This window comes from Homo sapiens, chromosome 12 (genome assembly GCF_000001405.40).
Source record: "Homo sapiens chromosome 12, GRCh38.p14 Primary Assembly".
Taxonomy (NCBI): domain Eukaryota; kingdom Metazoa; phylum Chordata; class Mammalia; order Primates; family Hominidae; genus Homo; species Homo sapiens.
Window position 1 is genome coordinate 25,502,626 of NC_000012.12, and position 22,503 is coordinate 25,525,128.

A 22,503-nucleotide genomic window follows, 5' to 3' on the forward strand; every position below is an offset into this window, starting at 1 on the left:
TGGTTGGATAAGTCCCTTTTCAGTCCCAATGTCCTAGAAATGTCTGTGAAGGAGGCTTTGAATAGAGAAGTTGTGGCTATCACATTTTCAGGAAGTTGGCAGTTCAAGGATATGATGCTATAGGAATGGAGAGAGTGGGCTTGACAAAGAGCAGTTGACTTTCAGAAAAATAGAAGATGACAATTAGGGAAAATCTAGGGAGAGACAGGCTGAAAGAAACTGGACAGCTGAGCAATCAGACAGAACCTGATAGGCTTGTGCATACATGAGGAGAGCTGGAGAAACCCGGAGAGCCAGTAGGCTGTATGGAGTAGTAAAATTAAGTCATTTCTACCAGGAGAGTCCAGAATACCAACAAGTTAGGGTTCACGTGGCTGTAGTTTTCATCTTAAGTCAAGTAAAGAATAGGAAGCCTAGGCAGAAAACAACAACAACAACAAGAAAACATATAAATAGACCAGTAGTGAACGAGGGCAACAAAGAATGTGAACTAGAGAAAGACACAAACCAAAAGGAATCTTCATCAAAACACCACCTTGTCATTAGCTATTTAGGGAAGCATTTAAACTCAACCACTTAAAAGACAGAAAACCAACTTTGTTGAGATATTCCTCAATTACTTAGTTGATATCATCGTGAAAAAGAGATGATACAACATAGGAATTGACTCATTAAATGATACAATATCATTTAGCAAGTGAGAACAGCTGCAGTCTCATTAGCCAGAGTGATTTCTGTGATGTAATTAATACTCTCTTGCTCATAGGAATTAAAATGTACTGGTGTAGTTGCAGAGTTGTTTTTTGAGTGTTTGAAGTGACTCTGGAGTTCAAGGGCTCATTGCTTAGCCATCAACAAGGATAAATTGAGGATATGGGGCAAAAAGTAAAGATGTGACATTTCCAATTTCCCATTCTTAGAAAGCTTATCATTCAACATGAAGACAAAAACTGATGGCTCTAAAGGCAACATAAATATTTAACAGAAAATTAGTGACTATGGAATATATAAGGACAACCCATGTTCTGATGACTTTCAAAGACATTTCTGCCCATTACTTTAGTCATATTATTTTTCTGTGGAGAAAGCAAATTTGCAATACAGTTACTTACCTTTAAAGGTTGAGTTGACTGCTTATTGCTTTTGTGACTCAGATGTCTTCTTTTTCTTAGACCCTGAAAATTAAAAAAAATAATTAAAAAAAGGAGAGAGGCTAGGTAGGGAAGGGCAAGAGTTCAGTCCAGTATTCCAAGTATTGATTTTTCCATGTTAAAACAAATCCTGGAATAAGCTAACAACAAAAGGATTTTCTTTCACTTGAAGAAGAAATTTGTGGCTTCAGGATAGTATTTAGGGGAGACTTGAACAAAGTGGTTTAAAAACCACCTGAAAAGTATTATTTGATTCTTATGAAGTTCAAGTTTCCAATGAATCATTCTAAAAGGAAGCATATATTTCAGGACATAATTAGTCAAAATTTTGGGACACAAAATATCCATCTGGAAGATATATTTTTTAAAATGGAGGTTTGCAGAATAATTTTACCAGCCTGTAAAATTCCTCAAATGCTTTCTATATGTAGAACTGCCATAACGACAAAGTAGCTAGGGGAGGGAGGTCCAGCAATTGGCTGCATCAGGAGGGATGTGACAGAAGGGGATGATGCTTCGCCTGCTATGTCAGTCAACTCCAGCCTGGTGATGAATGAGGTGACAGATATGGTGGCCTTCCTTACTCTCATCTACTTAAGCAGGAATTGAAAGTCACTTTGTTTAAATATAATTTCCAGATATGAAGCAAGTGTATCAAACTAAAATAGTGTTGAATTGAATGATACCAAGTACAAATTACTTCTAGACCAAAGATGAGTGTTATTTTTATTCCTGTAAAACAAAAGAGAAGAAAACGAAATAATATCCTAGGTGTAGACGATAATGAGCTCCTTTGGAAAAAAACAAAATAAAACAGGAAAATATCCTCAGTCATACCTAAGCCTTTCTTTTTCCATGCAAGCTCAGAAGAATTATCAAGTTAAATTGCTGGTATTTTATTACAGAGAAACAATATCCAAAGCTGGAAGTGAAAATGTGATCTACAAGGAAGATTAACAAAAATGAAGAGTGTTTCTGATTATCACGGTAATTTTCTTAGCCACAAATAGGATTCTGAATCTAAAGAATCAGGATGCTGTTTGGCACATCACAGTATAAACTTGCTAAATAGTAAGTTATGAACCTAGAATATAAATAGGCTTCTAAGATATTTTCCTTACTATAAGCAGTGGCTTAGATATAAGAAGACTCTGGCTAATCTTCTAGAGCAGTTTGTTGGCATGAAATAGACCTTGTAAATATTTTATGTATGTCCTTCCAGACTGACTAATCTAAGAACAAAGGTTTTCAATTGTACCCTGAAAGTTTATCCTCAAGAAATGGTGTACTCTATATTTTAGAGCTACAAACATCTGTAGAAAATTCCCATCTACAAGTTTTTGAAATTGAATGACAGGACTGTCAGTAGTGGTGGTGTCTGTCTGTTTCCATGTCAGTGGGTAATGGCAATTTTGGGTTTTTTTTTGAGCCTCAAGCATTTAGCACCTAGTAACTTTAATCTAAATCCCCTGAATTTCTGAAATCATATTTTTTACTTGTGTAAAGAAATGGACATCTATTTCTGTAAAGAAGGTTACAATCTTTCATAACTAAAGGACAATTTAAAACACTTGTTTTGTAATATTGAAATGTTTTGAAATAAAATATCTGGTCATAATGTTACCTAATTATTCTGTTACTAAGACTAATACCTTGGAATTCATTATTCAGCCATTAAAGAAACGTTTATTTCAATTGTAAGAAGCAGCACATAAACTGTTCTTACTTGTCTATTCTTTTTTTAAAAAGTCCTGCAGAAATATGGTGACTTTTTAATCTAAATTTTCTGAAAGTAAGCAAGGGAAGAGAAAAATTATTACTTTTGAATATACGATGCAGTAAAATTTTCCTTTATATAAAAGTTTCTTTTGGAAAAATTATTTGATAATAGAATATGCACAGGACCCGTTAGTATTTTGCAATGTTCCTTCAAATTATTGTTTTCTACTCAGTCTGATGATAAGTGGTCCAATACAGTAATGAGTTTTTTCTATCCCTCTGGATAGTCAGTTTTTTTCATTTAACATTTTTTATACATTAACTCATATAATTTCTAGTTATGTCATTGACTAATTTAGCCATATATGTTTATATGTATATAATATTGACTAATACTCTGCCTATTCACAGAAACGTCATGTTATTCCAAATTCCTAGTCTGACAAATTTAAACCATGCAATACATGCAAACATCAATAAACAGAACAGACACTAATCTGAGGAATATATAAGGAAAAACTCAAAAATCTCAAACTTGTATTGGAGGCAATTTCTTATGGGAAAAATATACTTTGATCCTAAGACAGATAAGTCAGATCTATTAAATTATAATGAGCCCACAGTCCAGCTTAAGTAAAATTCTATAGATATGATCTTAATGTGGAGCTCACATTGATGAGATTTTAAGTGTTTCATTCCTGCGTAAGGTTATCTATGTTCTGCTTTTATTTATTTTCTAGCAGTTAGTTTTTCACAGTGTGGCTTTGCCACACTCAGAAACAAAGGAGCATCATCATTATTATTACTATGATAACATTTACATAGAAGACAGTAGCAGGTGCAGAGTCCACAATTAAGATGAATTCCACTGCAGTATATGAGATGGATTGCAGAAGACAGGCAAAGCGCATTCAACCATGAACAAATAAAGTACATTAAACTGAATATGCTCACAATATCAACTCGAAACAATGCAAAATACTATCTTCAGACTAGTTTCTGTCATTTAACTTGAATTACAGAAGAACGCTGGCAAAATTGTCGATAATCTACAAGCTAATCAGAGCAAGAAGAAAGCACATTCTCTCTAGGTGTAGGATGAATAATGGCAACACAATGTAAACTTATCTGCTGTGTTAAAGGGCCGTTAGCCTTCATTCTGACGACTCCTTCGTGCTGTACTCAGGGCCTTGCCTTTGTGCTCTAACAGCTCCTGGTACATACTAGATTCTATCAAAAAATTGGTCTTATTTATTTTACTATTTCAAATTTTTATTGTGAAAAATTTAAACATACAGAAAATGTTAATGAATAATATAACCAAATTTGTATACTTATCACCCAGATTTAATCATTAATATTTGCCAAATTTGCATTATCTTATTTATTTATTTATTTTTTGAAATGGAGTTTTGCTGTTGTTGCCCAGGCTGGAGTGTAATGATGCGATCTTGGCTCACTGCAACCTCCACCTCCCGGGTTCAAGCAATTCTTGTGCCTCGGCCTCCCGAGTAGCTGGGATTACAGGCATGCTCCACACCTTGCTAATTTTGTATTTTTAGTAGAGACAGGGTTTCACCATGTTGGCCAGGCTGGTCTCAAACTCCTGACCTTAAGTGATGCACCCACCTCGGCCTCCCAAAGTGCTGGGATTACAGGTGTGAGCTACTGTGCCCAGACACATTATATCTATATATGCCTACATGACCAGACCATTAGAGAGTAAGATTTCAGTATGAATCTCCTAAGAACAACTAACATAACCACAACACAATTAACACACCTAAGAAAAGCACAATGACTCAATGTCTAATATTCATTCTGTATTCAAATTCACCTAATTATCTTAAAAAATGTCTGTTCTGGCTGTGATTTTTGTTTTCTTTTTAACCAATAGCCTATTAAGGGAAACTAAATCTTGAAATGGTAGCTTAATTCTATGGGCCATCTGGCTCAGACACAGATCCAACTTAAAAATGGCATAAACAAAAGTATTTCTCTCTCATTTAACAGTCTGGACATGTGCCAGTACAGGGCACTTTGGGTGGCTCTTCCATCCTCAGCTCATGGCTTCATCTCTCAGTTGAAATGTGGCAGCTCTAGCCCCATGGTCATGCCATAGAGAAGGCACAGGGGAGCACACACTCCCAGGGCATGATCCAGATGTTGTAGATACAAGTTCTGTTCACATTCCATTATATAGGATGTTGACACATAATCCTACTATTTGCAGCAGAGGCTGAGAAAAACAGTTCTTATTATTGATGGCCATGTGTCTAAATTTCCCTGGACCTGTGAATCTTGTGTATAAAGGAAGAATATTTTAAGGGCTGCAATTAGCTTTCTCTGCTATGAGGTATTTCTGGAAATGACTGAGCTATGACAAACTATATTAAAATTAATTCCCAAGACACTGCAACATAATGATGGGTTTAAGCTTATTAATGGTTAAGACTGTTTTTCTCTTACACTGAATAAGCTTCATGTTATTAATATTCATTTTGAGTTCATCAACGTGTTTTTTTTTTTAGATTTTCTTTGTCCCTCCTTGTCAGTATATAAGCTGTCCATGCTCATTAATGGAACCATGCTTTCTTCCCTTACCAGTTTTTATTGTTAAGTTTTTTAAAATAAAATGTATTTAAGTATTAATATACATGAAGGAAAGTTCACAAATCATAATTTACAGCATGGTGAAGCCAGTAAAACATACTTGTAAACACCACTTGGATCAAGAAATGGAACATGTCAGTGTTCTAGAAGCATTTTTGGTAACCTCTAAATATTACTCCTTTCTTCTCCCAAAGATAACGATTATTCTGACCTTTGACACCATGGTTCAATATTGTATGTTTTTGAATTTTATATACGCAAAAATCATTCAATACACATTCCTTTTTGTCTGACATTTCTTGTTCAATAGTATGCTTATGAGATTCACTGATATTATTGCATGTAGCAGTAGTTCATTCATTTTCATTGCCTATGGGATTGTATGAACACAGTATAATTTATTTATCCATTAAATAATTGATGAACACCTGGATTGCTTCTAGTTCTTGGCTACTACAAATACAGTCACTCAGACCATTATTGTATGTATATTTTGGTGCACATATGTATATATTTGTTAAATATATATAGTTCTTGGGAATGAAATTGCTGGTTTATGGGGTAATTAGTATGTGTATATTCATTTTTCTTGCCTTATTTCACGCAGACTTCTAGTACAATGTTGAATAGAAGTCATCATAAAGAGAATTCTTGTCTTGCTCAGGACCTCAAGGAAAAATCTTTCGCCACTGCACCTACTTCACCGTTAAGTATGATATCGTTTGCTTTAGGAGTTTTGCAAATATCATTCGTCAGATTAAGAAAATTCTTTCTAGTCCTAATATTCTAAGGTTCTCTTGTGGGTATGGAGTGAATATTTTATCAAATGCTTTTATTATTGAGGTGATTATATAATTTTCCTCTTTATAACCAGCCTTGCATTCCTGAAATAAACCCAATTTCTTGGTGATATATTATCCCTAAATATCCCATGTATCAAAGAAGATATTACGTTGGAAATTATATATGTTTAACTGAATTATAATGAAAGTATGACATATATCTTTTTGTTTTTTGAGACAGAGTTTCACTCTTGTCGTCCAGGCTGGAGTGCAATGGCGTGATCTCGGCTCACTGCAACCTCCGCCTCCCAGGTTCAAGCGATTCTCCTGCCTCAGCCTCCAGAGTAGCTGGGATTACAGGTGCACACCACCATGCTCAGCTAATTTTTGTATTTTTAGTAGAGATGGGGTTTCACCATGTTGGCCAGGCTGGTCTCGAACTCCTGACCTCAGGTGATCTGCCTGCCTCGGCCTCCCAAAGTGCTGGGATTACTGGCATGAGCCACTGTGCCAGGCCGACATTCTTCTACTATTCTTTTAGTTTCCATCCTATATTACAACATGTATTTTTGATTTATTAAAATCTAATATAAGTTGCTATTTTTACAACCTATTGGAAAAACAGAAAATTTAGAGAACTTTAACTCCATTTAGTCCTCTCCCAACTTTTGTTCTATTTCTGTTGTAATGGATTGAATTGTGTCTCCCTAAAAGATGTGTCCTAACCCTTGGAACGTGCGAACATGACTTTATTTGGACATAGGGTATTCGGAGATGTAATAAAATTAAGATGAGGTCCTGGTGGATTAGTATAGGCCCTAACCCAGTGACTGACATTCTTATAAAGAAGAGAGAAATTGGACACAGACACACAGGAAGTTAAGGCCATATGAAGACAGAGGCAGAAATTACAGCGATGGATCAACAAGCCAAGGAGTATCAAGGAATGCCGGCAATGACTAGAAACTAAGAAGATGCAAGGAAAGATAATTTTCTAAAGTCTTCAAAGTGAGCATGGCCTTGCCAACACCTTGCTTTTAGACTTCTGCCTCAGTATTGTGAGAGAATAAATTTCTATTGTTTTAAGACATCAAGTTTGTGGTGCTTTGTGAAGGTAGCCCTCCCTAGGAAACTATACAGTTGTCATGTATTTAAATTCTATCTAAATTTAAAACCCTGTAAGACAACATCGGTATTATTTTGTGTAGTAAACATTTATGTTTGTTCATGTTTTGATTGTTTCCAATTTTTTTTTACTTCTCTCTATAGCTCTGCGCATTCATGTGGGATAATTTTCTTTCTATTTGAAGTATTTCCTTAGTGTGGATTTGCCATTAATGAATCCTTCCAGTTTTTTTTTTTTGTCAGAAAATGTCCTTATTTTACCTTCACCCTTTCAGTTATATTTTTCCTCAATATAGAACTCAGGATTAGAAGTTCTGCTAGCACATTGAGGCTATCATTCCATTATCTTATGACTTCCATATTTTGTTTTCTGAAGTTTTATTATGATGTACATAGATGTGGTTTCCTTTGTATTTATGCTGCTTGGGATTTATTATTATTCTTAATTCTATGGCTTGATGTCTTTGTATCAGTTTTTGAGAATTTTTGCCATTATTTATTTAAATATTGTTTCTGTCCCAACCTCTCCATCATCTCCTTTTGGGATTCAAATTACAACTCTACTAGACTTACTTGTGCTCAGTCTTTCTCTCTAATCTTTTTTTGTTGTTCCTTTCTTTCCTTATCCTTTGCTTCCTTACTGCTTATTTTTTTCTAGATTTGGGGATATTTTGTATTCCATTTTATTTTTTATATTCCTTCTAAAATTCTCATTAAAATACCAGTCTAACTCTATGAGATGTCATTTAAAAATCTTCGGTGTCTCTTTTTCAGTCTGTCCTTCAGTATACACATATTAACTCCTATGTGTCATGTACTGAGTTTGGTGCAAGTGACAAAAAGACAAGCAAAATAAAAGCAATTTAACACTTATAGTCCAGAGATAAAAGAGAATTTACAATACAGTGCAATAAATGCTTTGCTTGGTGAGTGTAAGATATTACTGAGAACACATATTAGGAGCAAAAAACTCATTTGGTGGGGACCAGAGAGGGGTTCTTTGGAGATAGTGACATATAAGTGAAACTTTAAGGATGAAAAAGAATTATCCATGAAAAGAGGAGGGGTGAAAGAATGTGTGAAGGCCTGGAGGTAGTCAGGGTGTGTTTGAAGAACTGAAAGAACTTCAAGATGATTAAAGCATAGAATGCAAGAAGGAGAATGTGTGATGAGATAGGACAGCCCTGGCTCAAAGATACTTAAACAATTTTATGGATTTGGACTCCACCATGAGGGCAATGGGGAGAAAATGAAGATTTTTAAGTAAGAGAAGAAATGTTTAGGATACCTAAACAAGATTGATTATACTTGGGAGTTGAGGAAGGAAAAGGAGTAGAGAAAGACCGTTAGGATACCTCAGGTTTCTGAATGGCATTCACTTATATAAGGAAAATCAGTGGAATGACAGACTTTGAAGGAAAGACAATGATGAGTTGTTCTGAACATTCTGAGAATGAGACACTTGTAGGGCATCCAACTAGAGATTATAAGTAATTAGCCTCATAAATCAGAAGTTCAGAATAGAATGTTGGGCTGGAGATAAAGAGTTTGGAATCTTTCCTACTCCATTTCATTTTTCACATTGCTTTTAAAATTCTCTTTTAAACACAGATCTAACTATATGAGACTATTAACTATAACTATTAACTATTAACTATAACACCTATTTAAAATCCAATTGTTGCCTCGTCAGTATTTTCATAATACAGTTGAAACTCTAACATGGTGGTGTACAAATACCTCTAACATCTAGTCCTTACCAAACTTTCTGGACTAACACCTCAATTTCTACTTATATTTCAGTCGGATACAATTTCTGTCTGTTCACTGAACCCAAAGTTTATTCTTGCCTCCTTGTGCTTTTAATATGTACTGTTTCTTCTACTCAGAATGCTTTGCCCCCCCTCTTTTCAACCTGAATAACTCCTATTCGACCTTCAATACCTTAGTTCCAATGCTATCTCCCCTGAGCCTTTTCCATTGCTCTCGTCTTTTCATAAATATTTCTAAAGCAATGTTTCTTAAACAGCAAATCTTTCCCTCTCTATTGGTTATGAAATAAATTTAGAAGGTCATGGCAAGTATTTTAAAATGAAATAAAAGAGTAGGAAATATCAGAATCTGTCATACTTAGAAAAATCAGTATTGTCTTTTGCAACATTTGCTTTGGTTATATAGGTTTGAAATACATATTTGCAGCTACAGCTGAGTTTTTTGAGCTTCAACAGTTGACAGTGGAAAAATGTTTGAATTTGAAGTTAGATTTGCATTAAGCAGCAAAAAACGAGACAATAGCAAAAAGAAAAAATATCCCTAGTTCATGGATGTTGCTTTAGGGAGCAAAGGAGGGGAATAGGACTAGGACTAGAAAAAGAAATCTAGGAGACGTTTGACATGTAATGCTTATTTTAAAAAATAATTAATGCAAATACGACAATGTATTAATATTTTTCATTTGGGGAAGTGGGTAGAGAAGTGTCTTTTTTGTTCTTTACGTATTTTATAACATTAAAAAAAGATTCAAAAGCGGAAAATTTTCTAGCTCCATCACTTACTAAATTCTTATTTGTGAAGTCGAAATAATAGTGGAATTTATAAGGAGGTGAAAATGTTTCCTCTTGACATCTGCTGTCAAATTCCTCTTAGGATAGGGGGAGGATACCTTACCAGGCTTTTGGTAGAAGGTATGGTGACTCCTGAAGCTATGGGAGTGAGAGCTTCTGAAAGAGACAAAGAGGGCAATTATGGCAAGAGCTTTGGTAGTGCATGGGGTAAGGGGCCAAGGGTAATCCCTCTTGGGGCCAGTTGAAAGGATTCTTAGGAGAATCTACTCACAATTTTTTTTTTATGGGGGGGGGCTTTAATGAAACCTCTTCTCATGACTCCCAAAACATCAGAAACATTTATTGCCCATGAGTGGTTTCTGGCATTTTAGTTTGTTGTGAACACCGAGGGGCAGGATGAGTGTCACATCGTATTTAATCCTTTAATAATCCATAGCCACAAACTTAGCTAGAGGCCCTGTGCATTTGATCTGTATTATACTGAATAAAATTCCTAACCGCCTACATTGTAGAATTCAGAACATTCCCCCAAATTTGTGCTAATTCCCACAGGAACAAATTCTCAGCAAAATGAATGCTCAGTGGTGACTTTCAGCACATCTTCCACTAAGATGCATCCCGATTAAAAATATGAATAAGACAAAGTTGGCCATGCTCATTGGAACTATCTCGCATTATTGCCAATGCAATAATGCAAGAACACGATATAAATTTATAAGCATTGGAAAGAAAGGATGTCATTTGTACACAATTACACAATACAGAGGGGAAAAAACAACCCATGTGGCCAGGCACAGTGGCTCATGCCTGTAATCCCAGCACTTTGGAGGGCCAACACTTGAGGTCAGGAATTTGAGACCAGCCTGGCCAACATGGCAAAGCCCTGTCTGTACTAAAAATACAAAAATTAGCTGGGTGTGGTGGCGTACACCTGTGATTTCAGCTACTCGGGAGGCTGAGGCACGAGAATCACTGGAACTAGGGAAGCAAAAGTTGCAGTGAGCTGATACCGTGCTACTGCACTCCAGCTACAGTGAGAGAGTCAGACTCTGCTTCAAAAACAAGCAAGCAAACAAACAAGCAAACAAACCCATGAGACTACAAGCTATCAAAACTAAAAAGTTCAGAAAATTTGTTGAAACAAAAGCAATATACAAAGATAATTTTCCTCTTCTTTAAAAAAGTGAAAAAAAGTTATAGAAAGAGATAGCATTTTCAAAAGCAGTAGCAACAATAATAACAAATCAATACACCTGCCTGGGTGAGAAATCTACAAACGATATACAAGAATTTTATGGAAAAAAATGAGAAAATATCAATGAAAGCCATGAAAGAAATCTGAATGAACTGACAATTGATTTCATATACCATGACTCAGTATCATAAAGGTATCAACTCTCAACATGACCTTTAAAATTCTTACCATTTTAATCACACTACCAACAAGATGGTTTTTCTATGTGAAACTTGATAAAAATGATTCTTGTAAAGAGGAGTAAAAAGTTTAAGAAAAGCCAAATCACACTGAAAGGGAAGAGCAAGAAGAGAGCAAAAGAATGATTACGTACCAATAACAACAGGAACAGTGTTATTGGCACAGTGATAGATCAATAGAACAGTCTAGGGAGCACAGACCCAGACCCAAGCATAGGAGGGAGGTGGTACTAGAAATCAGTGTGCACGTGATGGACACACTCTCTGGTGTTGAGACAAATGGTTTTCCATATCGAAGAAATCTGAGGTCACTATTTCATACCATACATAAAAACAACTTCAAATATATTAAAGACATATACAAAAAGCAAATTGGAAAAACTATCATAAATAAATATAAACACACAATGTTCTCACTTATTTGTAGGATCTAAAAAGTAAAACAATTGAACTCATGGACATACAGAGTAGAAGGATGGTTGCCAGAGGCTGGGAAGGGTAGTGGGGGATTTGCAGGGCAGGGAGGTAAGGATGGTTAATGGATACAAAAAAAAAAAAGAAAGAATGAATAAGACCTACTATTTGATAGTACAATAGGGTGACTACAGTCAATAATAACTTAATTGTACATTTTAAACTAACTTGAAGGGTGTAATTGGATTGTTTGTAACTCAGAGGATAAATGCTTGAGGGAACGGATAATCCCCAAAAATTAATAAATATAAGCACATAACTTTATTATTATGAGAATTATTATGAGATAGGGAAAGATTTTTTATTTTTTTACATATGAAAATATGCACAACACCACTATTAAAGAAGAACTTCACATTAAGATAATGAGTTACTAGTTAATGTCCATCAGATTGGCACATAATTTAAGATTCTGGCAATATAAAGTTAGGTGAGAATAAGGGGAATGGGAAATATTTTACTATGTTGGTGGGAGTATAAATTAGCAAAATTCTTCCTAGAGCAGTTGAGCAAAATCTAATAAAGTTGAAGATACAGGTACCATACAACTGAATAAGTACATGTAGGAATTTTAGAAGATTTTAAAAGTTTAGGTATGAACCCCAAAGGAACCTTTGTATGTATGCACAAGTAGACTTGCACAAGGATAATCATTGCCGTAGACATAACATTTTCTTGGATGCATTCAAAGACTTGGTAAATTTTTTTTTAAGTAAAAAAGAAAATTAAAATATTTAAAAATTTTTTCATCTATATTATTGACGAGAAAAACATTAATAGGGGAATAAACAAGATACAGTAAATTTGTATAATAAAATACTACATAATGGTTAAAGTGACTGAATTAGGTCTCTCTATATTACTATAGTTAAATCCCCCAAATTACAGTAAGTCAAAAAGAGCTGGCACATTTAGCATGATGCCATTTATGTAAATTAAAAATACACAAATTATTTTAAATATATATATATGGATCCATATGCATGTAAACAAAGTATAAAATGAGAACCAGAATGATTTATTCCAATATCAGATCAGAACTGCAAATACAATTAAAGGGAACTTCAAATTTATGAATTTTTCTTTTTGGTAATGTGAAACAATACAATAAAATATTAACATGCATTCATTCTGCATGATTAATATATGGGTGCTTTTAACATTATACTTGCTGTATTTTAACATGTTTTTAAAAACAAAATGTGTTCAGCATGAGTTGGAAATACAGTGTGTAGATGTTTCTTTAAAATTATCCTATTTATTAGTCTCTAGGCTCCTCTGTAGCATATTTGAGAGACACAGTTTAAAACAAGGCAACCATTTTCAGATAGAAGATAGATTTCTTTCTATCTAAGATTCTTCTGTAACTCAGCAAACTAGCCTATTTATTATTTTAGGGTAAATGGAGCAGGATTAAACAACTTCCAAGTATAATTACTTTTTGTTTTGTCTGGTTTTTTTTCTTTGCCAGCTATTGTGTGTGCTAATGGTGGCAAATTTTCCAGTAGCAGGCAAATTAAAAAGATAGTGGATAATTAACAAACCATGTAACTTTCCCTTGAAGAATCATGTTACAAATCCTTTCAAGGAGATGAACTGGTAATTCAGGGATTACTTGATTCAATCAATCAGCAACCAATCATTCATAACATCTGTTTCTTTGTGGCCATCTTTTGTGGTAGAAATCAAAGAAAAAATCGTACAATTCTGATGTATATCTGTTCATACTGAAAATTAACTGAATGGAAAAAAAAGTTATGTAACGATGTATAAAGACTTTAGAGGTATCAAAGCAACTATTTTTGAATTACTACTACAAAATATGCACATACGGTGAAGTGCTTTGTGTTGAATAGCAAATGTTATTGAATAATCAAGATAAGTTGCCACCATCATATTATAGAAAAGTGCCTCAAAAATTTTGAAATCAAATTTCTCTGGAAAATAAGTTGTTCTGAATAAGTAAACTAGTGAAGATGATCATTAATTAAAGAAAAACATAAATTAATGTATTTCTTGAAAGCCTCAAATTTAAGTCATAAAGTACTAAAGATTATAAAGGGCTAAAGTTGTTTACATCTATCTAATATATCTATATCTATATCTAAAGTTCACACACATGCACAGAGTTTATTGCTAAAGAGACCTTCAATTTCAGAACCATATCTTTACAGATGAGGAAACTCAGACATAGAGCTACATGGTACACAATTTTATGAAAAAGAAATATAAACTAAAGAGCTTCTGCACAGCAAAAGAAACTACCATCAGAGTGAACAGGCAACCTACAAAATGGGAGAAAATTTTTGCAACCTACTCATCTGACAAAGGGCTAACATCCAGAATCTACAATGAACTCAAACAAATTTACAAGAAAAAAACAAACAATGCCATCAAAAAGTGGGCGAAGGACATGAACAGATACTTCTCTAAAGAAGACATTTATGCAGCCAAAAAACACATGAAAAAATGCTCACCATCACTGGCCATCAGAGAAATGCAAATTAAAACCACAATGAGATACCATCTCACACCAGTTAGAATGGCAATCATTAAAAAGTCAGGAAACAACAGGTGCTGGAGAGGATGTGGAGAAATAGGAACACTTTTACACTGTTGGTGGGACTGTAAACTAGTTCAACCATTGTGGAAGTCAGTGTGGCGATTCCTCAGGGATCTAGAACTAGAAATACCATTTGACCCAGCCTCCCATTACTGGGTATATACCCAAAGGACTATAAATCATGCTGCTATAAAGACACATGCACACATATGTTTATTGCGGCACTATTCACAATAGCAAAGACTTGGAATCAACCCAAATGTCCAATAATGATAGACTGGATTAAGAAAATGTGGCACATATACACCATGGAATACTATGCAGCCATAAAAAATGATGAGTTCATGTCCTTTGTAGGGACATGGATGAAATTGGAAATCATCATTCTCAGTAAACTATCGCAAGAACAAAAAACCAAACACCGCATCTTCTCACTCATAGGTGGGAATTGAACAATGAGAACACATGGACACAGGAAGGGGAACATCACACTCTGGGGACTGTTGTGGGGTGGGGGGAGGGGGGAGGGATAGTTTTAGGAGATATACCTAATGCTAAATGACAAGTTAATGGGTGCAGCATACCAGCATGGCACATGTATACATATGTAACTAACCTGCACATTGTGCACATGTACCCTAAAACTTAAAGTGTAAGAATAATAATAATAATAATAATAATAATAATAATAATAATAAAAGAATTCTAAGCAGGAAAAAAGAAAAAGAAATATATTCAGTGATTTACAAAATTTCCATCATTCCACTTCTAAAAGGTACTGTTTTGGGGGTGCCATTTCCCAGTGATGTGCTAGCATATTAACACAATGGTTGTCATATTGTTTCATGGAGAATCTTGTGATTTCGTGGTGTCTTAAAGATCACAGGCAAAGAGAAATGGAAGAATAAGGGGGTCATGAGTAGTGGAAATTGCTACATCCTCCTCACCTTGGGTAGATCTGTTTTTATGCATTTTATATATTGGGATCTCGCTTAAGATTTCATTTTTAAAAAAACAAGCTCTTCTTTCCTAAGTCAAAGTTTGTGAATCATTACAACTTCACCAGGATATTGCTGGTGTACTAAACAGGCTTTCTCCAATAGTTGAGTCTGGTTCCTTCTTGGCTTTATGTTCTTCTACTCCAGTTCTTGTTAAATACTTGTGGACATCTGATGAACTTCATGGACTCTCTCCCCAGAAAAAATCATATAGACACACACAATTTTGTGAAAAATGTAGCAAGTGCATGGATTTCCTAAAATCCATTCACAGAGTGTGTGTTAATCATACTAACTCTAAAAGCTTTATTTAGAGGACTTAAGAAACTTCTGAAGGAGAAAGAATTGGGGATTAACATTAGAGTGTGTTTGGAAAAGGTGGAATTTTTTTCAACACAGCATAACTTGTAAGAACAGTTTTTGCTGCCTGATGAAAAAACAAAAAGTGTTTTTTCATTGAACTTCAAGAATCATACATACTCTTGCTGGCCACGCTGTTCTTTTAATTCATTGATTCATTCAACAGATATTTATCAAAGACAGATGTTTATCTAGCACAGTGGAAGACACTGTGCTAGGGGAAATGTAAGTGAATGGTTAACAATACTTCCTTTAAGAGCCATCTATTCTTGAGAATATGAATCATCTTTAACACTTAGCACATTTTAACCACTTAACCCACTAGTTAACACATGTGCATGCACACACACGCACTCTCCACTGGAACAAGCACTCTTTTAACTGACCTGAGGCTCGATTAGGTCTGGTTGACCGAGTCCTGGGCTGTCTATCCAATCTGCCTCCAGCGGTGGATGTATTGTGTGGTTCAATCAGAGGACAGTAAGGATGTGCAGAGACATAGGGATTCTGGCACCAAGGGCTGCGATTAGGGAAAACGGTTGGTGGGATTTCCTTCTCTCTGTAAAAGAAAAAAGCCTAAATGGAACTCAAAAGCCATTTTATGCTGTGGTGTTAATGTTGAAGGCACAATTAAAGGGGAAGCATATTTCAAAACCAAGAGAATATGACTTTTTAAACTTTGTGGGCAGAACTTTTATTATAACTTCAGAAGCATTTGCTACAAATGAATAATATATTCTGCACCTCTGTCCATAGGCAGCTTTTGATCCAAGATAAAATTCCTGGATAATGCACCTCTCCCTCCACCTAAGCACTGCTAAAGACTTGGGGATACCTCACCTTTTCACCTCTCTGCAGCAGCCTTGCCTCTAATAACAGTGCCCATGAAAAGTGAAATGGCGGCCGGCCGCGGTGGCTCACGCCTGTAATCCCAGCACTTTGGGAGGCCAAGGCGGGCGGATCACAAGGAGATCGAGACCATCCTGGCTAACACGGTGAAACCCCGTCTCTACTAAAAATACAAAAAAAATTAGCCGGGCGTGGTGGTGGGCGCCTGTAGTCCCAGCTACTCATGAGGCTAAGGCAGCAGAATGGCGTGAACCGGCAGGGCGGAGCCTGCAGTGAGCCGAGATGGCGCCACTGCACTCCAGCCTGGGTGACAGAGCGAGACTCTGTCTCAAAAAAAAAAAAAAAAAAAAAGTGAAATGGCCAGAGGGGTCTCAATACTACCTAGTGAAGATCGCCAGCCTTCATTGCCCTATGAGTATTTACCTGCTCATTCTGTTTTCGTGCTTTTCCTATGAGTTCTATTCAAAATAGTAGTTTCCAAAAATCACTATTGATTTAATTTATACATCACACATCCATTTGTCATCTAGTCGTTCCCACATGCTTAGTTACTAATTGTGGGAAGGACCCATTAAAACAAACAAACCAAACAACCCTTACCTCTTAAGAAGAACTTGAGCTTGTTCCACCTGATAATTTGAGATATCTTTCTTAGGTTGATCTTGTTTTTCTTTAGTTATTGTAGCTGTAGATGCTGTCCACTGAAACACACGCTTTCGGAATGTTGGAGATACTACTGAACATCTGTTAAATTCAACGTCAGCATCTAATTTTTCCCACGCTTGCTTCCAGTGGATAGGGGTGTACCACGCAATGGCCTAATGAAAATGATTTATTAATGTTGGCTATGTATATTTGAGGTTTACAACATGCTGTTATGAGATATACATATATATATATATATATATATATATATATAGTAAAATGGTTACTATGGTGGAGCAAATTAAGGTATTTATTGTCTCACGTAGTTACTTTTTTATGACAAGAGCAGCTAAAATCTACTTAACAAAAATCCCCAACACAATTTCATTAACTATAGTCCTTATATTGTACACTAGATCCCTAGACTTCATCCTACAAATCTCTGCTACTTTATATCCTTTGACCTACATCTGCCTATTTCCTCCCCTGCTCCCATCCCTGTGAACCAGTTTTATTCTCTTTCTCTGTATGTTTGACCTTTTCAAAAATTCCACATATAAGTGAGATCATGCAACATTTTTCTTTCTGTGTCTGACTTATTTCACTCAGCATAATGTCCTCCAGGTACCTCCATGTTCTTTCTTAAGGCTGAATAATATTCCATTGTGTATAGCTACATTTTCTTTATCCATTTGTCTGTTGACAGACACTTAGGTTGTTTCCATATCTTGGCTATTGTGAATAATGCTGCAATGAAGATGGCTGTGCAGATACCTTTCCAAGGTGGTGATTTCATCTTTTTTGGGTATGTACCCAGAAGAGGGATTGCTGGGTTGTATGGTAGCTCTACTTTTAATTTCTTTAGGGACTTCCATATTGTTTTCCATAAAGGCTGCACCAATCTACATTCCTGCCAACCATGTACTGGGGTTCCCTTTTCTCCATACTCTCACCAACATTTGTTATTATATCTCTTGTCTTTTTTGGAATAACCATCCTTATGAAGTGTGAAGTGATAGCTCATAACGATTTTAATTTGCTTTTATTTGATGCTTAGTGATGTTGAGCATCTTTTAATGTATCTGTTGGCCATTTTTTAAATGTCTTTGGAGAAATGTCTATTCAGGTCTTTTGCCTGTTTTCTAAATCAGGTTATTTGCTTTTCTGCTATTGAGTTGTAAGAGTTCCTCATAGATTTTGAGTATTAGCTCCTTCTCAGATATGAGGTTTGCAAACTTTTTTTTTTCCCAGTCGGTAGGGTGCTATTTTATTTTGTTAATTGTTTCCTTTGCTGTGCAGAAGCTTTTTAGCTTGACATACTCCATGCCCACTTTTATTTATTTTTGTTTTTGTAGCCTGAGCTTTGGTGTGATACCAAGAAATCATTGCAAAGGACCACGTCAAGGAGCTTTTCCCCTATGTTCTTTCCCAGCAGTATTATGGTTTCAGGTCTTACGTTTAGGTCTTTTAGCCATTTTGAGTTGTTTTTTATTTACCATGTAAAATATGGTACAACAGAATTTAAAAACTGAACTATATAATGCCATTTACCTGTGTGTGCGGCTTAGCGAACTACATGATGAGGATACAGAGTAACGCATCTTGGCCTTAGTTTCCTGTTCTGAAAATTACAAGCAGCATAATCTCAGGTAGGTAAGTTACTTTCTAACTTGAACTGTGACTTCATGTGTAAAACTGAGAGGGTGGTATTGGGAACTGCTTTATTGAAGTGTTGTAAAATTCATCCAGCTATTGAATTTCACAACTCTAAAGAACCGAGCAAAAAGTAATGGTAACATGAAAAAGTTAAGATTTTAAACATTTAAGACACTGTGTGTGTGAGTGTATCTTATCTGAGATGGGAAAATGGACAGTAGAGCTAGAGACATGGACAAGAAAACACGTTCTTCAGGCTAGAATCCTAGGTGAGAGTATTAAGGAGACCCATAAGCACTGAAGCTGGAGTTTGTTTGGATTTCCTGAATATGTGACATGTGCACAACATACACGTGCAAAAATTATTCAGGAAAATCCTGTATAGACACTAACAGTTATATTTCTATTCAACATGAAAAACGTGCCCTAACATTCTACTTGTTCTAGTGATCTGTTTTTAGTTTACCAAATTAGAGGTTTGGACTTCACACTGTAACCTTTGAACATCCCTCTGCTTGGCTTGACAAATAACATAGACATAAAGACAACACAAGGTCAGTTCAGCTAGGCTAAGCTTCTAGCAGAGAAAGAAGATGAATTCTTTTTTAAAAAGTTTATTTTCATAGATTATGGCAAAAAAATGGACTTTTGCTACAGATCATTAGTTACGAATCCTCCCTTTTTAGTAGCTCAAACATATTATATTTTGAAAATATGTTCATGATCTTTTTAGTGTGATCTCCCTTATTGAGGTGTGTGCCTTTCCTAGACAAGGCAATATTTTATTTTCCCCTGTATTGTAGGAACTTGAGAGAATTTTCGATGACAATGATGATAATGTGATAAAATTTAGCCTCAGCTCTAGAATGTCGGCCACATGAAACTTACAAACTATTTTTAGTGCAATAGAAAAATTATTGAGAGTTAGAAGATATGGTTTTATTTTAGTTCTATCACATTACTTATCATGTGACCTTAAGCAAGCCATTTAACTTTCCAAGCCCCATTTTTTTTCCCCAAGATACTGAAACATTACTGAGAATCAACTGTAATAAGGCATATATAAACAGCCCTTCAATGAGTTCCTATTGTATAGGACTGGTCTGTTCCACATCTGGATGTCTAATGCAAAACAATGTATTGGGAAAGTACCAGGCATTGATAAACATGAGACATTTATTAATTATTTGACATGTAATTTAGAGGCTGCAAACCTGTCCCTGCTTTAAAGGTCCATAGACTCATGGAATCTTAGTGATTATATTATACAGTCTCTTACTTTACAGATGGGAAAGTAGAATAACAATTATGTAGTTAATACATGGCAAAGCAAAACTAAAAGCCACTTTTATATTAAGCCATAAGATTTGTAGCTGTATCGAATATTAACCACTGCCATGTTAGTGACAAGATGACTCAAAAAGTAGTCTAAGACATACTTTATTTTAGCCTCCTTTTAATTTTTTAAATTTGTTTTTATTTTTATTTTTTTTCGAGACAGAGTCTTACTCTTCGCCCAGGCTGGAGTGCAGTGGTGCAATCTTGGCTCACTGCAACCTCCGCCTCCCAGGTTCAAGCAATTCTCCTGTCTCAGCCTCCCTAGTAGCTGGGACTACAGGCGGGCACCACCACACCCAGCTAATGTTTGTATTTTTAGTAGAGATGGGGTTTCACCATGTTGGCCAGGCTGGTATCAAACTCCTGACCTTGTGATCCGCCCGCCTCGGCCTCCCAAAGTGCTGGGATTACAGGCATAAGCCACTGCGCTGGCCTAGGCTTCTTTTTAAAAATGACCCATAATATAACTTCTCTTTGCCCCATCTTACAAATATAAAATATTATTCAAGTCCAGAAACAGGTTCTATTCTGATCTGTATAGCTGGCTATTATTTTAGACAGTAGATTACAGGCTTTGTGACTTTTTCCACAAGATATGGATTATTTTCTACATACAAATAGAAAGCAATTCCAGGGTCATGATGACACTTTGAGTTCGTGTTTCAGCATGTCTATGAGAAGGCAGTAAATTGTCTTTTTAAGGAAAATTTACCTGGCGGTTGCAGATAGTAATATCCAGTGCTATGAAAGTGAGAATGAAAATGAATTTATTAGAAAAGGAACTCTATACTTACATTAGGGTTTCAAGCTGATTTTAAAGTCACATTTCCACCTATTTAAGGGAAATACTTTCTAGTCGAATTAAATAATGCATATGGCTTTACCATAAGGTAGAATTTCCAATGGGATGTGACTCAGGTAAAAAAAAAAAAAAAAAAAAGCTTGAGCTGAGTTCTGAAGGGCAGGTAGGATTTAATAGGTAAAAAGGGAGGGAAGAGAGCCTATTGAGAGGCAAGAGCATGCGCAAAGGCCCTGTGGCATGAAGGAGCAGTCAAGCACTGGAAAGCAAAAGTAGTATGAGAAGTAGGGCAGTGTGGCTAGAACAGAGTGCATGAAGAAGCATGGAGAGAGGAGAGTCCAGAAGGTGAAAATGGGCAAGATCACCATGGTTCAAGTTAGGTGGGCAAACTCCTCTCCACTACAGATTCACAACACATGGCTCTTCCTCTCAATGCTTTTTCTCATGCTCTCCTTTACAGAGTTGATATTTCTGACCTGGGCTGCCCATATTTTATTAAAGCATTGTTTCACTGTATTGCAATTACTTATTATTACATATCAGTTTCTACTAGCAGACTCTGAGTTTCTTGAGGACAAGAAGTGTGCAATATTTATGTTCTTTTTTCTAGCACCTAGCGCCATTCCTGACAGATACGAAATATATTTAAATATTTTCCGTATGGATCAATCAGTCAGGTTTAGTCTTTCATTAGCAGGCACAGTTACTTGTGCTTACATCACCCCACAGAAATGGTCTGATTCTATATGTGCAAAGTCATTAAAATCACTGGGTAAAAGGAACAGTCTAAGTACAAAGCCTAATTCAGTTGCAAGAAATGAAAACTTTTTAAAATCTGCATTCCAGGAGCTCAGGGACCTGGTCTGTCTGGTTCAATGCTCAGTGCCTGGAGCAATGCACATACAAAGTAGAAATCACAAACTGGTTTACAGAGTGGATAACTATGATGAAAGTTCTGAGATAAGAATGTCTTAATCCTAAACTGGGTTTTGCTAATGATTTCTTATGAGGCTGAGTAAATAACTCACATTGTGTATCCTCATTTTCTCCATCAATGAAAATTAATCTAAGTAAATAACTTAGATTGTGTAGCCTTATTTTTCCCATCAGAGAAGTATTATAAAATTCAGTTCGAGCCCACAAGGAGATCTAAAGCTGAGTGGGTGAAGGCTGCTAAGTTATATCTCATGGGTGCTCTCCTCATCTAACAACAACTGTTCCCGCAGAAAGACAGTAAATGGCTCTTAAGAAATTAGCCAAGTCTATTTTAAAGGGAAAGTCCATCTCAACATAGATTATATTGCAGCAAAAAAGAAACTCAGAGATAGATTCTTGTTAACATATTTTGTTAGTAGTTATATGACATAGTAAGTTAGACTGAGGGTAAGAAAAATCACAGGTATGTAAAAATGATCTAAAAATCATTTTGAAAA

The 22,503-nt window shown here is 35.6% G+C and overlaps 1 protein-coding gene across 26 annotated transcripts in view; it reads right to left on the minus strand.

Annotated features, from left to right (window-relative positions):
• Positions 1-22,503, minus strand: part of LMNTD1 (lamin tail domain containing 1) — a 172,497-nt gene that overhangs the window by 26,544 nt on the left and 123,450 nt on the right. For 22 of the 26 annotated variants that reach the window (XM_011520575.2, NM_001256266.1, NM_152590.3 and 19 more), the window contains 3 exons: positions 17,233-17,450; positions 16,170-16,342; positions 1,113-1,175 (listed from right to left, as the gene is read on the minus strand). In XM_011520575.2, coding sequence (XP_011518877.1) covers positions 1,135-1,175; positions 16,170-16,342; positions 17,233-17,450 — 432 coding nt within the window. In that variant the 3' untranslated portion in view covers positions 1,113-1,134. Of the gene's footprint in view, positions 1-1,112; positions 1,176-13,489; positions 13,590-16,169; positions 16,343-17,232; positions 17,451-22,503 lie in introns of those variants that run through there. The other 4 variants (XR_931277.2, XM_017018894.2, XM_011520579.3 and 1 more) reach the window with 3 other exon arrangements.